The 17,164-nt window shown below is 52.1% G+C and overlaps 1 protein-coding gene across 3 annotated transcripts in view, besides 1 other annotated feature; it reads left to right on the top strand.

Moving 5' to 3' along the window:
* RCC1L (RCC1 like) overlaps window positions 1-17,164 on the top strand; it is a 46,684-nt gene that overhangs the window by 19,200 nt on the left and 10,320 nt on the right. For 2 of the 3 annotated variants that reach the window (NM_030798.5, NM_001363447.2), the window contains exons 10-11: window positions 1,807-1,892; window positions 11,494-12,420. In NM_030798.5, the coding sequence (NP_110425.2) occupies window positions 1,807-1,892; window positions 11,494-11,571 (164 nt within the window). In that variant the 3' untranslated portion in view covers window positions 11,572-12,420. Of the gene's footprint in view, window positions 1-1,806; window positions 1,893-11,493; window positions 12,421-17,164 lie in introns of those variants that run through there. The other variant, NM_148842.3, reaches the window with a different exon arrangement.
* Window positions 8,205-8,704: an enhancer, noted in NCBI's record as "H3K4me1 hESC enhancer chr7:74785909-74786408 (GRCh37/hg19 assembly coordinates)". NCBI's record gives its function as "activates a minimal SCP1, AML or CMV promoter by ChIP-STARR-seq in primed H9 embryonic stem cells {active_cell/tissue: H9 hESC(primed)}" and the evidence as "EXISTENCE:reporter gene assay evidence [ECO:0000049][PMID:30033119]".

Here is a 17,164-nt window from a genome sequence, read left to right as displayed (position 1 = left end):
GATTTGATAAATAAGAGTCGTATGGACTAATTTTGGGGGAAACAAATATCTACTTTCCAGAAAGTTCTTAAGGCCTCAACTATGGGCAGAGACACATGTTTAGAAATCTGTGTGAAGCATTTGACTAGAGCAGAGGCTTTTCTATTTGCCCTCATGCCATGTAGCCATTTCAGGTCACAGCGAAATGAAATTCCTTTCTGGATTTCTCCCCGAGACTTAACAGGCCTCCTTCTAAGGGTGAGTTACTGCCTGTTGGTAGACAGAGCCTAGCTGTCTTCCTGCCTGTGTGCCTGGCATTTGCAGATAGCCATCTGGGAATTAGAGTTGGTTGGTTTATCCTGTGGTCTGCTAGCATTTTGGGGAGCCAGGCCGAATTGTTCTATTAAACACCTAAGGGCTAGCTGGGTGCAGTGGCTCATGCTTGTAATCCCAGCACTTTGGGAGGCCAAGATGAGAGGATCCCTCAAAGCCCAGGAGTTCGAGACTAGCCTAGGCAACATAGTGAGATCCCTTTTCTACAAAAAATACAGAAATTAGCTGGGTGTGGTGGTGTGCGCCTGTAGTCCCAGCTACTCTGGAGGCTGAGGTGGAAGGACTGCTTGAGTTTGAGAGTTCAAGGCTGCAGTGAGCTATGTTTGTGCCACTGCGTCGCAGCCTGGGCAGCAGAGTGAGACCCTGTCTCAAAAGCAAACAAACACACACACACAAAAACTATCTAAGGTCTGAGTGTGGAGAACAAGGGGCATGCTTAGATCAGGGGCCTAAGACAGCTTGTAATTATTCCGTACTTCATCAGCCCCAGGTCTTGTAGTCCTGGCTTTTCCATGTCACTTCCTCTGCCTCCCATGACCCAAGCCTTTTGCCCAACAGCTGATGGTGACATGGGCCCAGGAGTGCCCCAGCTGGTGCAGACAGAGTCCCACCTGAAGGCCGGGCTAGGAGAGGCCATCTCCTGGGTTGACCTCTTAAACAGCATCTTGTACTTTTTCTTCATGACAGTTTTTACAGTTTGTAAACATATATTAAAATCATCTGTCTGTTCCGTCTCTGGCCAGTCCCCAGCTCCTGGAACACAGACCTAGACCCAGCACAAGCAGGCACTTGGTCATTAGATGCCCTGTGGCTGAATGCTCCCAAGATATGGACAATCAATCCAGGAATGACAAATTGTCTTACTTTTCACTGTCAAATCAGGAAGCCCAGGGTGTCGCCAGGATTTGTGGAAGGCAGAGTTTGGTGGCACACGATTGTGGGCGGGGCACAAGGGGTGAGCAGAGTGGGCCGTGTGCATCAGTGACCTCCAGCCCCGTGCACCACCCCCAGACCCCAGCTCCATGCACCACCCCCAGACCTGTCCACCACCCCCAGACCCCAACTCCATGCACTACCCCCAGCCCTGTCCACCACCCCCAGACCCCAGCTCCATGCACCACCCCCAGCCCTGTCCACCACCCCCAGACCCCAGCTCCATGCACCACCCCCAGCCCCGTGCACCACCCCCAGACCCCAGCTCCATGCATCACCCCCAGCCCCGTGCACTGCCCCCTGCCCCATCTTCATTTGAGTGCTCATCTCCCACGTGGGTGGATGCAGCAGAAGTCCTGGCCGTGGATGTGTTTTCGATATGGGGACAGCATCTCAGACCCTTACTTTTGCCTTCAAAGAAAGCATGAACGCCTGGTAAAAGCTGAACAGTGGGCTCTGTAGGTATCTGGTTCTAGAAAGCCTGTTCTCATGACCCATCCTCTCCTTGGAGACTTGTTCTTCACACAGTCCCAACCAACCCCTGTTTTCCTCCCTTTGCAGACAAAGGAGAGCTGTTTGTATGGGGCAAGAACATCCGAGGGTGCCTGGGAATCGGTCGCCTGGAGGACCAGTATTTCCCATGGAGGGTAAGGCTGGCCGGGGAGGTCTTGAGAATGGATGCTAAGAGTAGAGTCACCTGACGTCACTGCAGACACCTCGCGTGCAGATGGGCCAGGACGAGGGCCATGGGACCTGCTCCCCCTTCCGGGTCCTGGCTGCACTCCTGCAGCGCGGCATGCTATGTCATTGCACACTCTGTGGTGACACCCATGAGATACCCGTGGTGCATCTGCATGGTGTGATGCGTGGGGGAGTGACACCAGGCTTCTTGGGGTGCAGGAGCTGGGTCAACCCATCCCGGCCCACTGACTGGGAGGTTGGAGGGAGTAGCCCACTCAAGCATCCAGTCCTATAAGAAGCCCTGTCGGAGGCCATCCTTGGGGTGGATCGGGGAAACAGAGGCACGATGGTGCAAAGGCTCTGGTAGGGTGCCATGAGGCTCCGGAGAGGGGGAGATATTGGATGAAGTTGGCACGCTAGAAGCTGTTTACAGAAGCCCATGTGGGGGAATGCTTCACAATGAATTTAAAAGAAAGCAGGATGTTTAATATTTAGATGGCCCAACCGCAGCTATGAAGTGAAAAAATAAAGTCGCTTCCTTAGGGGCGGTAGTATGCAATTAGACAAAAAGGCTCCTTCCAGAATTACAGGGGAAGAGACGCTCATTCTAAAATTGTAGTTTACCTTAGTGTTGTTTACTAAGTCAGTTCTTTAAGGCATTCTAAAAAAGGAGGTTTTTGGGGTTTTTTGAACATGAAACATATGTTCATGGTACAAAAAAATGCACTATGGAAAATGAGTCTCCCACCACCCAGTTTTTGTTCCAGAGGCAGCCACTGGTCCTGATTTCTTTATGTTCCTTTCCAGAGATAGTCTCTGCATAGAGACTGGTGTGCATGCGTGCTTTGTGTGTGTGTGCCTGTGAGTACATACATGTGTGTGCAGTGTGCATATGGGTGTATTTTATCAGAAGGTTGGATTTTAATTTGTTTTGAAATTGTGAAAAGCGTTTTTAAAAAGGACTTGCACCAGGTGTGGTGTCTCACACCTGTAATCCCAGCGCTTGGGGAGGCCCAGGTGGGTGGATCACAAGGTCAGGAGTTCGAGACCAGTCTGACCAACATGATGAAACCCCATGTCTATTAAAAATACAAAAATTAGCCAGGCATGGTGGCACACGCCTGTAATCCCAGCTACTTGGGAGGCTGAGGCAGGAAATCACTTGAACCCGGGAGGCAGAGGTTGCAGTGAGCCAAGATCAGACGCTGCTGCACTCCAGCCTGGGCAACAGAGGGAGACTGTGTCTCAAAAAAAAACAAAGGACTTGCAAAAGAAATGTGTATATATATATGTGTGTATATATATATGTGTGTATATATATGTGTGTGTGTATATATATGTGTGTGTGTGTGTATATATGTGTGTATATATATATGTATGTATTTATATGTGTGTGTATATATGTGTGTATATATACACACACACATATAAATATATATACATATATAATACATTTATATTATACGTTTATATATATTAAATATATATATATATATATTTTTTCCAAGACTATCGGTGGAGGCTCTGAGAAAGCAAGTTGAAATGGAGACTTTAACTTTGTTTTTTTGTTTTTGCTTATTATGAGACAGGGTCTCACTTTTATCACTCAGGCTGGATTGCAGTGATGTGATCACAGCTCACTGCAGCCTTGACCTTCCTGGGCTCAGGTGATCCTCCCACCTCAGCCTCCTGAATAGCTGGGACCACAGGCGTACACCACCACACCTGACAAATTTTTTTATTTTTAGTAGAGATGGGAGTCTCACTATGTTGCCCAGGCTGGTCTCAAACTTCCGGCTTCAAGCAATCTGCCTCCCTCAGCTTCCCAAAGTGCTGGGATTACAGGCATGACCCATCACGCCCGGGCGACTTTAGCCTTGTTGGAAAGCTGTTTGTATAATAGAGTTGTTCCCAAGGTGGTGGGGCTTGCCGGCTTTCTCCTGAGCCTGGAAACTGCCGGTGTGAGGAACAGAGAGTCGGGCAGTGGGTGTGGCTCAGATAATGTGAGCATCAGTCATCTACATGCCCACTTGCTTTCTCACTGACTCCTCTCTTCTCTCACTTTGCCCTTTCTTTCGAAAAGGACTTCCTTCTGAGGGGGGAACTTGGGAAACAGTTAAAGCAGCCGGGTTTTGGGTGAAAGAACGCTGACGAGGGTCTGCCCCCCGCCCTCATTTCCTTCAAATCAGAGTGATCAGCCTGAGATTTGACTCAGGTCACGTTGCCCCTGCCATAAGGGCATGTGCAAAGCGCTGGTCCCTGTGCGGGCAGGGAGTGGCCGGAGCCCGATCCCGTTGACATTCCATCTGGGTCACTTGCCCTGGCTCGCCACACACCAAGTGTCCTTCTGGTCATTTGCTTTTTATTTTTATTTTTATTTTATTATTATTGTTTTGAGATGGAGTCTTGCTCTGTTGCCCAGGCTTGAGTGCAGTGGCATGATCTCAGCTCACTGAAACCTCCACCTTCCGGGTTCAAGTGATTCTCCTTCCTCAGCCTCCCTGGTAGCTGGGATTACAGGTGCATGCCACGACGCCTGGCTATCATTTGCTTTTTAAACACATTTGTGCCTTTGGGAAAAGAGCACCCCAGCCTGTCCCCGTGACGGCGGCATTTGGCGCCAAACCATTGTCCTTCCTCTTGCACATTCAGGGAGCCCCTAAGGGTTTGTGCACGGAGTGGCCTCGACCCCTGTCCTCTTTGGATTGGGGTGGGAGAGTCCAGTCCCTTCTGATGACTCACTTAAAAAAAAAATTACAAGTGATTTTTCTTTTCTTTGTTTTGTTTGTTTGTTCTTTTAGACAGGGTCTTGCTCTGTCACCCAAGCTGGAGTGTGGTGACAGGATCTCGGCTCACTGCAGCCTCTGTCTCCCAGGTTCAAGTGATCCTCCTATCTCAGCCTCCCGAGTAGCTGGGATTACAGGCTTGCACAACCACACCTTGCTAATTTTTGTATTTTTTGTAGAGATGGGGTCTTGCCGTGTTGCCCAGGATTTTTTTTTTTTTTTGAAAACAGGGTCTTGCTTTGTCGCCCAGGCTGGAGTATGGTGTGATCACACTCACTGCAGCCTCAAACTCCCAGGCTCAAGCTATCCTCCTGCCTCAGCCCCACAAGTAACTGAGATGTGGGATGGGATGACAGGCATGTGCCAGCACCACACCCAAATAATTTTTTTTTCGTTTTTTTTTTAAGAGACGGGGTCTTATGTGTTGATCTCAACCTCCTGGTCTCAAGTGATCCTCTTGCTTCAGCCTCTGGAATAGCTGAGATTACAGGCATGTGCCACCACACACGGCTTATTTTATTATTTATATTTATTTGTTTTATTTTATTTATTTGAGAGATGAGGTCTTCCTATGTTGCCCAGGCTGGTCTCAAACTTCTGCCTCAAGTGGTCTTCCCACCTTGGCCTCACAAAATGTTGGAACTACAGGGGTGAGTCACTGGCTTGGGTGATCTTTATTCTTTAAAACAACTATGTTCAAATTAATCTTCCGTAGGGGATATATTACATCATTTAAAAAGTATTCCAGAAAAGAAGAGAAAAAAAGAGTAAAACTTTACTTGTAGCTCATACACTGGTACCAACTAGTTATTCTTAGACTTGCAGAATTTGGCCTTTTCTGAGTATGTGGGCCCGGGAGGTGACATCTGAGCCACCTGATTCAAACCTCTGCTTCCAGAAACTTTCCAGGACATGTTTTTTTGCTACACGTTGAGACTCATCCCTCAGAGAGGTTCAGTGGTTTCCCAGGGTCACATATCTAAGTTGGAGTCAGAGCCAGGATTTGGACTCAGTTACATCTGACTTTTAAGACAATGGTCTTTCCACGGCCACCCACCTCCCTGGGCGAGCCTGAAGCTGGTGTGGAGAGAAGGCAGCACGCAGTGGCACGGAACATTTGACCAGGCGTTGTCTGGCCTTCCAAGACCCTCTGACCTAAGGGGGAGTGCCACAGACCTACAGCAGGCAGCGAGGGGGTGTGGAGTGGCCTTCACCCCTCATCCCCCAGGGAGCGCCCTGGCTTTCCACAGACAAACATTCCAGCCTGGCTTCGGGGGAGGGCAGGGCATGGACAGCGTGCTGGGCACGTGATGTCCATTCTCTCTCATCCTCCAGACACCTTGAGGGTGGGGTTTCTCCCTCCACAGTGTGCACACGGGGACACGGAAGTCAGGAGCGAAGGGGCTTGCCCCAGGTCTCACGGCCCCTGAGCTCATTGGGTATAATTTGAACTTGCGACTCTGCCTGTAGACGGTGCTTCCCCTCCCCGTGGGCCCTGCAGGTCAGGACCGGTGGGGTCTGGAGACACAAGCTGGGGAGCTCGCTGACTTCTAGCCTCGCTTATACGACTCCTTCCATAGCCCTGGGTCTTAGGTGGTGGTTCTTTTTTTTTTTTTTTTTTTTTGAGGCGATGTCCTGCTTTGTCACCCAGGTTGGAGTACAGTGGCACAATCTGGGCTCACTGCAACCTCCGCCTCCCGGGTTCAAGCGATTCTCTTGCCTCAGCCTCCCCAGTAGCTGGGATTACAGGCATGTGCCACCATGCCTGGCTAATTTTTGTATTTTTAGTAGAGATGAGGTTTCACCATGTTGCCCAGGCTGGTCTCAAACTCCTCACCTCAGGTGATCCACCTGCCTCGGCCTCCCAAAGTGCTGGGATTACAGGTGTGAGCCACTGCTCCTGGCCGGTGGTTCTTTTTTTTTTTTTTTTTTTTTTTTTAATTATTGGCCAGGCGCTATGGCTCATCTCTATAATCCCAGCACTTTGGGAGGCCAAGATGGGCAGATCATGGGGTCAGGAGTTCGATACCAGCCTGACCAACATGGCGAAACCCCGTCTCTACTAAAAATACAAAAATTAGCCAGGCGTGGGGGTGCACGCCTGTAATCCCAGCTACTCAGAAGTCTGAGCAGGAGAATCACTTGAACCTAGGAGGCGGAGGTTGCAGTGAGCCGAGATTGCGCCACTGCACTCCAGCCTGGGCGACAGAGTGATACTCTGTCTCCAAAAAATATATATATATAATTTTATTTATTCATCTGTGTATGTACCCACCTAGGTGGTTCTCACAATGCAGGAGAGGAGTACAAGTTAAAAGCCGGGCACAGGCCAGGCATGGTAACTCAACGCCTATAATCCCAGCGCTTTGAGAGGCTGACGCGAAAGGATTGCTTGAGGCCAGGAGTTCAAGACCAGCCTGGGCAACATAGTGAGACTCCATCTCTACAAAAAACAAATGACCCAGGTGCAGTGGCGTGTGCCTGTAATCCCAGCTCCCTGGGAGGCTGAGGCAGGAGGATCACTTGAGCCCAGGAGTTGGAAGCTGCAGTGAGCTATGATCACACCACTGCGCTCCAGCCGGGGGCAACAGAACAAGACCTTGTCTCTAAACAAAAATTTAAAAATACAAAAGCGGCCGGGCGCAGTGGCTCACGCCTGTAATCCCAGCACTTTGGGGGTGCCGAGGCGGGCGGATCACGAGGTCAGGAGTTTGGGACCAGCTTGGCCAACATGGTGAAACCCTGTCTCCACTAAAAATACAAATATTAGCCAGGTGTGGTGGCGCATGCCTGTAATCCCAGCTACTTGGGGGGCTGAGGCAGGAGAATTGCTTGAACTTGGGAGGCGGAGGTTGCAGTGAGCCGAGATCGTGCCACTGCACTCCAGCCTGGGTGACAGAGCGAGACTCCGTCTCATTGAAAAAAAAAAAATAGAAAAGCTGGTGCCATTGAACTGCAGAGCTGGGCGCCGGAGTAGTCTCCCTTTCTCTGGCTCTCTTGTCCCCACGAAGGACTCACCGCCCAGGGTTCCTTCTTCCCGCACCCCCGTCTTTCACCTGGTGGGCGTTCGTTTTAGCAACTTGTAATTGTGGATAGGGATGTTCCTAAATGGATTCTGCTGAGACTTTTAAGAGAGTCACCAAGGCTAAATATGGTTCTGGTTTTTGGAACTGTTTCCCTCAGCAGCGGAGTTGTGAGTGTAAATTGGCTTAGAAGAAAAACGCCATTTAACCTTGCCTAGGACAAAAATAAAACATGGCTGAGGGCAGTCTCCTCTTGGACTCAGTTCAGAGACCGTGTGAGATTGTCCGCCAGGGGGAGCTGGAACCTTGGGGAGCCTCCCGCTGGTCCCTAGGGCTGGCTCCCAGGAGCCGGGCCCTTGCTGCCCAGGCCACCCGCAGCAGAGACCATCGTGGCTTCCTTTGCTTTGGGCTTGAATGGCCAGAGCCCTCGGGGAGCAAGGACCTGGGGGCTTAAGTGCAGCCGTGAGGAAGCGCACTGTCCCGGGAAAGGTAAATAAAGTGCTCCCTAATGGCTGGGGAGGTTGCTAAGAGGCGGTCGGGGCCCAGTCCCTGCAGAGGCAGCCTGTTTTCTTCTCCGGCCAGCCTCTCAGGCTTTCTGCATCGACGTGCCTTTGCGATTCACTGGGCCCCGTTCTTGTTTGTTTAGTGATTCCTGTAATAGGTTCTGCTAAAGACATTCATTTGTTTAGGGACAGGGCTGGGGGATGACAGCATGACTTGGTTTCTAGCATCCATCTGCTGTGGCCAGGAGTCCCTAATGGTCTTGTCTCCTGGCGTAGGTGCAAAGCTCCGGGGTCGGCGCCTGCCGCCTCTCGGCTTTTAGGGCCAGGCCATCTGGATTAGGCGGTTTCCCTCTTAAGCTCGGTAAACTCCACAGACTGTGACAGATCCCCTTTCCAGCTGTCACACCACCTGGCTGCATGCTGCCACCAGGGGAGGGTGGTCGAATTCGGATCTGGTCAGTAGATCAAGTGCCAGCATCCTGGCAGGGGTCTTCCGGCCAAGCCAGGCAGGGTCACTTTCTTTGCAGTTGGCACTTAAGAAAGGAAGAGAAGGCCAGGTGCAGCGGCTCACGCCTGTAATCCCAGCGCTTTGGGAGGCCAAGGCAGGTGGCTCACGAGGTCAGAAGATCAAGACCATCCTAGCCAACATGGTGAAACCCCATCTCTACGAAAAATACAAAAATTAGCTGGGCATGGTACTGCATGCCTGTAATCCCAGCTACTTGGGAGGCTGAGGCAGGAGAATCGCTTGAACCAGGGAGTCGGAGGTTGCAGTGAACTGAGATTGCGCCACTGCACTCTAGCCTGGTGACAGAGCGAGACTCCGTCTCAAAAAAAAAAAAAAGAGAGATGCATATCTGCTTCTTTGCATAAAGAACCTCTGGAAGGCCAGGCCTGGGGATCACACCTGGAATCCCAGCACTTCGGGAGGCTGAAGCAGGAGAATCACTTGAGCCCAGGAGTTCGAGACCAGCCTGGGCAACATGGCAAGACCCTGTCTCTACAAAAAATACAAAAATAAGCTGAGCATAGTGGTGCATGCCAGTAGTCCTAGCTACTTGGGAGGGTGAGGTGGGAGGATAGCTTGAGCCCAGGAGTTCGACATTGTAGTGCGAGCTATGATTGTGTCTCTATAATCCAGCCTCGGCAACATAGTGAGACCTCTGTCTCTACAAACAAACAAACAAAATTAGCCAGGCATGGTGGCACGTGCCTGTAGTCCCAGCTACTTGGGAGGCTAAGGCGGGAAAATCACTTGAGCCCAGGAGGTTAAGCCTGCAGTGATTGCACCACTAGACTCCAGCCTGGGCAACAAAGTGAGACTCTGCCTCTTTTTTGTTTCTGAGCCAGAGTCTTGCTCTGTTGCTCAGGCTGGAGTGCAATGGCGTGATCTCGGCTCACTGCAACCTCTGTCTCCTGAGTTCAAGCAATTCTCCTACTTTAGCCTCCTGAGTAGCTGGGATTACAGGCGCCTGCCACCATGCCCAGCTAATTTTTGCATTTTTAGTAGAGACGGGGTTTCACCATGTTGGCCAGGCTGGTCTCAAACTCCTGCCCACCGCGGCCTCCCAAAGTGCTGGGATTACAGGCGTGAGCCACTGCGCCTGGCCTAGACCCTGTCTCTTAAAACAAAAACAAAACAAACCTCTGGAAAGTTAATAAGAAATCAGTTAAAAGTAGTTTTCAGTTCAGAGGCAGATGGGGACTGGGGCAGCTGGTGATAGGTGTGGTAATGAAAGACTTTTTTTTTTTTTTTTTTTTTTTTCGAGACAGAGTCTTGCTCTGTCGCCCAGGCTGGAGTGCAGTGGTGCGATCTCAGCTCACTGCAACCTCCACCTCCCAGGTTCAAGCGATTCTCCTGCCTCAGCCTCCCGAGTAGCTGGGGTTATAGGCGTGCGCCACCACACCCAGATAATTTTTGTATTTTTAGTAGAGACAGGGTTTCACCATGTTGGCCAGGCTGGTCTTGAACTCCTGACCTCAAGTGGAGTCCACCTCAGCCTCCCAAAGTGCTGGGATTACAGGTGTGAGCCACTGCGCCCGGCATAAAAATCATTTAATAGCTTTTTCTTCTTTTTCACTGAATGTCCTTTTATCTTGCAGCTATGTGAATGCACTGCCTAGTCATAATAAACAAGAAAGAGAAAGCAGAGTGCCCCTTTCCTGGATAGCTGGATTGGCTATGGCCCTGGGCACACCTGGAGTTGTTGAGGGTGTCCGTTTCCATGGCGAGGCTATAGAACAGTGGGCGCCCTTCCAACAGGCTAGAGCCTCCATGTCTCAGTGAGGCCATCTTCTTGCTCCCTTGAAGCTTGGGCTGTCCTCTGATGCCATGTTGTCAGCCCAGACAGGCAGTGTGATCAGGGCTCCTGGCAAGGGTCTTTGAGACACAGCCACTGCCCCTGCTTGGTGGTCGTGACTTGGGACGCAGCCTGCCTGTGACTGGAGCTGGGGGTGACGGGTAAGATGAGTGGAGATGTTGGGCCAGTGGGGCCTGATTCCCAGACTGGACCTGCAAGGCAAGAGACAGGGTTTCTGGAGCTTGTTTTTGAGACAGAGTCTCGCTCTGTCACCCAGGCTGGAGTGTAGTGGTGCAATCTTGGCTCACTGCAGCCTCTACCTCCTGGGTTCAAGCAATTCTCCCACCTCAGCCTCCCGAGTAGCTGGGATTACAGGCGCCTGCCACCACGCCTGGCTGGTCTCAAACTTCTGACCTCACGTGATCCGCCTGCCTTGGCCTCCCAAAGTGCTGAGATTATGGGCGTGAGCTACAGCGCCCAGCCCCTGGAGCTTCTTAGTGAGCCATAGCAGTGGCTCCCAGGAGAGATCTCTGAACACCTGGCCTGGGGGCATGGAGCCTAGTGGGGTTAGGGTCAGAGGGGAGCAGCCCCTGTAGGGCGTGCAGGTTCCAGGGATGCACACAGGCCCATGTTCCTGCCCGACATGCCCTCTCAGGCTGATGTGAATGGTGATGGCTGCCATTGACTGGAGGGAGTTGGGATGGCCTTGTCCTCATGACCACACGCAGTTGTCCTGATGGACCTGCTGGGGAGGCCTAAGTGCCCCCATTCCCAGAGGGTAGGGAGCCGAGGCTCAGAGAAGCTGTCTCCTACTGAGACAAGCTGTCTCCTGCTGAGACAAGCTGTCTCCTACTGAGTCTCCTACTGAGAGGCAGGGCCGGGTCGGCCAACACCAGCGCCTGTCTCCTCCGGGTGCGCCACCCCCACCCATGGTATGCTGGATCTTATTTTTCAGGTGACGATGCCTGGGGAGCCTGTGGACGTGGCATGTGGCGTGGACCACATGGTGACCCTGGCCAAGTCATTCATCTAAACCTCCCTCACCTGCTTGGGCGGCCCCGTCCCGGGAACCACTGGCACTCCTTGGCAGAGGCCAGCGCGTGGCCAGCCCCCCGGGGTTCTTGGATGGTGGTGGCGGAGGACCCTGCGTGCAGTGTGACGCTCTGTCCTGAATCCCTTAGCGGGTACCTACCAGGAGGATCAGGGCAAGGTCCCTCTCCAGCTGCAGGTGAGGCCTGCGGAACTCAGCTTGGATGGCAGCCTTTGGTGGGCCGCTGTGGCCCGCACGTCTCTGTTCTCTCCAAGTAACATGCGACGGTGTCTGGTGTCACGTCTCGCCTGAGAAGCCCGTCTTAGGAAAGCTTAGCTTGAACACAGTGCTCGGGAGGTTTCTGCTCTGTCTGTCATGGCAGTCTCTTGGTTTGTGTCTGGCCAAGGCCATGCGTGTGCCTCGGACCGAGCCCCAGCTTAGGCGAGGGAGTCAGGCTGGCTTCGGCCCTCGGTTTTCATTCAGGCCACCCTGCTCATGGCCCTTCCTGGCCGCCTGCCACACCGCAAGCTCGCTGGGGGGACACTAGAAGCACCGTGGCCTGGGATTCCATCTGGAGCTGTCCGCAGGCACCAGCCCCAGCCTCCCACCACGCTCACTGCCTGGCTTGGAAAAGTTAAGAAGCCCCTCAGGAAGAGAATCGAGGCCAAGTTCCTCTGCGCCGAGGGCCCCGAGCATATCCGCCAAGGCTCAGCTGCAGTGCCAGGCGGAGGAGGAAGATCCAGAAATTGTGAACAATGTTTGATTTAGTAGCGTGACTTGCCTTTCCCTTTAAAAACATCTTTTACAAATCTGTCTTGGAATAAAGTCTATTTTCTGCCTTTTGGTTTTTAAGCTCTGAAGAGATCTTCTTAAATCTTACTTGATCATTTAGAGTTTTGCTTTTATAAACAAGCCTTTTGATACAGAGGCAGAAGCCAGTGAAAAATACTTTTATAGAGATGAGGTCTTTTTATTTTATTTTTTTATAGAGACAAGGTCTTGCTATGTTGCTTAGGCTCCAACCCCTGGCCTCAAGCCATCCTCCTGCTTAGGCCTCCCAGAGTGCTAGGATTATAGGTGTGAGCTACCGTGCTCAACTGAAAAATAGTTTAGAAGACAGTCCTACTCGACAAATATTTTCTTTTTCTTTTCTTTTTTTTTTTTTTTTTTTGAGACAGAGTCTTGCTTTGTTGCCCAGGCTGGAGTGCAGCAACATGATCTCAGCTCACTGCAACCTCCACCCCCTGGGTTCAAATTATTCTCCTGCCTCAGCCTCCCGAGTAGCTGCGACTACAAGTGTGCGCCACCACACCCAGCTAATTTGTTTTCTGTATTTTTAGTAGAGATGGGGTTTCACCACGTTGGCCAGGCTGGTCTTGAACTCCTGACCTCAGACGATCTGCCTGCCTCGGTCCCCCAAAGTGCTGGGATTACAGGTGTGAGCCACCGCACCCAGCCATACTTGACAAATATTTTCTGAACAGATTCTACTCCCGCAGTTCAGTTGGGAGAAAATACTTGGTACTCATGTCACAGGCTGGACTCCCATGCCCTGTCTGCCTTTACCTCGTTCCTTTAATGCGTTCACAACAGATACTTGTCATGTGCCCCATCGGTGCCCAGTACTGTCCTCATGCTGGGGCATGTGGTGACAAAAATCCCCGCACCGTGAAGCTTACATTCTAGGGAGGGAAACGGGAAAAATGAGAAGCAGCATATGAAGTGGTTCTGTGGGCCGTTGAGAGAAAGCAGGAGGAGAGGATGGGATCTCGGGAGGGCTACCCTTTATTTATTTAGTTAGTTAGTTAGTTAGTTAGTTATGAGATGGAGTCTCGCTCTGTCGCCCAGGCTGGAGTGCAGTGGCGCGATCTCGGCTCACTGCAACCTCCGCCTCCCGGTTCAAGCAATTCTATCTCAGCCTCCCGAGTAGCTGGGATTATAGGTGCCTGCCACCACACCCAGTTAATTTTTGTATTTTTAGTAGAGATGGGGTTTTGCCGTGTTGGCCAGGCTGTTCTCGAACTCCTGACCTCAGGTGATCCGCTCACCTTGGCCTCCCAAAGTGCTGGGATTACAGGCGTGAGCCACCGTGCCCGGCCTAGAGCTGCACTTTAAAGTGGAATGGTCACCCAGCCAGCAGTGTCCTTGCTGTGACCTGCGGCCATGAGAACCAGCCACTCAGATATCTAGGGGAGGGGCCCTTCACCTGGGCTGCGAACCCCATTCTTAGGTTTATTACAGTCAAATTTTCTCATAAACTTGAAATAGAAATTGAAAACCGTGTGTCATTTTTCCTTCCTGAAACCGTTACTGGGGCTGGGTCTAAAGTCGCCTCTGCAGTGAAGCAGGGTAATCCGACCTCAGTGAAACTCAAGCCTAGATCAAACTCACGTATTGATCTAGAGATGGTAAGTGCCCCTGGAGGTCAGACCCGGGTCACACTGGGCGGGGTTCGGGATGGCAGGTGAGGATGGGGGATGGAGGGTCTCTGGAGAAGGTGAGTTTTTAATAAACCTCCCACCCTAATGGCAACCAAGATACAGATCTAGTAATGATCTTTTTTGTTTGTTTGTTTGAGACAGAGTCTCTCTCTGTTGCCCAGGCTGGAGTGCAGTGGCATGATCTCAGCTCACTGCAACCTCCGCCTCCTGGGTTCAAGCAATTCTCTTGCCTTAGCCTCCCGAGTAGCCGGGCCTAGAGGCATGCACTACCACGCCCGGCTAATTTTTGTATTTTTAGTAGAGACGGAATTTTGTTATGTTGGCCAGGCTGGTCTCGAACTCCTGACCTCCAGAGATCCGCCCACCTCGGCCTCCAAAAGTGCTGGGATGACAGGCGTGAGCCACCAGGTCCAGCCCCAGTAATGATCTTGACTTTGGACATAGCAAGCAGTGTAGAAGCAGGGACGTCCTTCGGTTTGTCTTTTCTTTCTTCCAGCTGGGCTCTGTCTGCCCAGGAGGGCTGCTTGGCTGTGCCTTCTGTGGGTCACGAGGGCTCCTGGTTGGAGCTCTTCTGCTGTGGACCAAGCCTTCTCCCCAGCTGTCACCTGTGCCTGCATCTCAGCGTCTGTCCTCTCTTTCCCTAATGCCGCCCCTCCCCCAACCCCAGCATTTGACACACACGTCCATAGAAACCCTACTATGCCATTAGCTCGGTTGCTAGGCTTGATCATCGTGTTCCTGCAAAAAATCAGTGTTTGCAAGCTCCCGTCTCCTCTCGCTTTAGTGAGCACGTGAATGGCACCCGCGATGGAGTGAGCCTTGTACCAACCCCATGTGTCCCCAGGCCATTCTCCATACACACCAACTCTGTCCCTTTCTCTCTGATGGGGTCAGTAACCAAGGTCAGAGAGGCACCCGGGTGGAAGACGTAGCGTGTCCAGGTTGTCAGCCTTGAGGAGGCCTCCCCCCCATCTCCCTCGGACAGTTTGCAGGGGTCGTAGGTCCAGTTTTCCATCCTCTTCGCCCCTGCAGGTATGCAGACCGCCACTCCACACTAATTTCTTCGGGGAAGAGATGGGTCTCACTGGCATGAAAACCCTTCACAGCTAATCCAAGCTCAGGTTGTCAACCTCAATAGGATGCTGTCATGACTTGTTTCTTGAATACATGGTCAGCCCACATTTTCATTAATTCAGGAAATACTTCTGCGCTGACTGTGCTCTGCATGACAAAGTCAAATCCTGACAAATAATGCCCTAAAGAGAAGGCTCGGGCACGGCCCAGCAGGTTGCATTCTGAGGCCAAGTGCCCAGTGCCGTGCCTGGGCCAGAATCAAAACTCAGGATGCGCTTATGAAATCCCACATTTCTCTCGCCTTCCACCCGGTACTAGCATCTAAAGGAGGCCTGGCCTTCACCTGGACGGCAGTGGGAGCTGCTTAACCTGTTATGGGAGGCCAGGTGCAGTGGCTCACATCTGTAATCCCAGCACTTCGGGGGTCCGAGACAGGCAGAGCACTTGAGGTCAGGAGTTTGAGACCGCCTGGCCAACATGGCAAAACCCCATCTCCACTGAAAATACAAAAATTAGCCGGACGTGGTGACGCGCGCCTGTTGTCCCAGCTACCCGGGAGGCTTAAGCAGGAGAATCGCTTCGCTTCCCTGCCCTACTCCACTCTTTGACCTTGGGGAGAGGCATTCCTCTCCCGAGACTGGGTTTCCCCCCGGAGGCAGGAGGATGTCATCTGCCACTGGCACAGGTGGCTTCACAAGGCTCAGTGAGCTGCCTCCCAGGGACCCTCCCTTGCCACGCAGCCATGTTCTGAGCTCCTCAAGGGCCCCCTGGTGGGTGCCAGTCTAACCACTGCAGCATCTGAGGATGCAGTCACCAGACTACCCACAGGCCCTGATCCAGTTAGCCCCAGCTCACAGGCTGTCGTCCATCCACCCCTGCCTGGTCTGACTTCCTCCACCCCTGCCTGGTCTGACTTCCCATCTAGGCACTCCTGCCCCCACCCATGGAGTAGGAATGAACACTGGTCTGCGCGCCAAAAAAAAAAAAAAAGGCGGGAAGCGGAGGTTGCAGTGAGCCAAGATCACACCACTGCACTCCAGCCTGGGTGACAGAGCAAGACTCTGGCTCAAAAATAAATAAATAAAAACACAAATACAAAAATTAACCGTGCATGGTGGCGTGTGCCTGGAATCCCAGCTACTCAGGAGGCTGAGGCGGGAGAATTGCTTGAACTGGGGAGGCGGAGGTTGCAGTGAGCCAAGATTGCACCACTGTACTCCAGTCTGGGTGACAGAGCGAGACTCTGTCTCAAAAACAAACAAACAACTGTTCTGGGGTCTTCTCTATGCAATCCATGGCACCAGGACTGACCTAGTGGCCCAGCTTAACCACCTGATGGGACAGACCCTTTCAGAGATGGCCATGAGGGCAGCACCCGGCACTGGCCCAGCCCCGCCCCAGGCAGCATCTGCTCCAGGCTCTGTCCTGCCTGTGATCGTGCACCAGGCACCTGTCCCTGCCTCCAGGACCCCACACTTGCTTTCTCCCTCCCAGGGGACACTATGCAGCTACCCGAGACGCTCCTGCTGCACCAACCAAGGGTTCCGAATTCATTAAACACCAGCCCCGATATTTAACATGGGAGACAGCAGCAGCCTGGGTTAAGCCTGAGCTGGAGACAGTGTTAGGAGTCCTGATAGCTGTGCTTTTCTTGGATTTGGGGCCACCATGAGGTGCATCCTCTGTGGTCATGTTTAAGAGGATAAACCATGGCCAGGTGTGGTGGCTCACGCCTGTAATCCCAGCACTTTGGGAGGCTGACGTGGGCTGATCACGAGGTCAGGAGTTGAAGACCAGTCTGACCAGTCTGAGACTGGTGAAACCCCATCTGTACTAAAACTACAAAAATTAGCTGGGTGTGATGGCACGTGCCTGTAGTCCCAGCTACTTGGGAGGCTGAGGCAGGAGAATTGCTGGAATCCAGGAAGCGGAGGTTGCAGTGAGCCAAGATTGAGCCACTGCACTCCAGCCTGGGAGACAGACCGAGACTCCGTCTCCCAAAAAAAAAAAAAAAAAGATATAAACCATGGCCAGGGGTGGTGGTAGCTCACGCCTGTAATCCCAGCACTTTGGGAGGCCGA

Source organism: Homo sapiens, chromosome 7, assembly GCF_000001405.40.
Source record: "Homo sapiens chromosome 7, GRCh38.p14 Primary Assembly".
Taxonomy (NCBI): Eukaryota; Metazoa; Chordata; class Mammalia; order Primates; family Hominidae; genus Homo; species Homo sapiens.
Note: the sequence above shows the minus strand (reverse complement) of the source record. Positions and strands in the feature narration are given on the sequence as shown.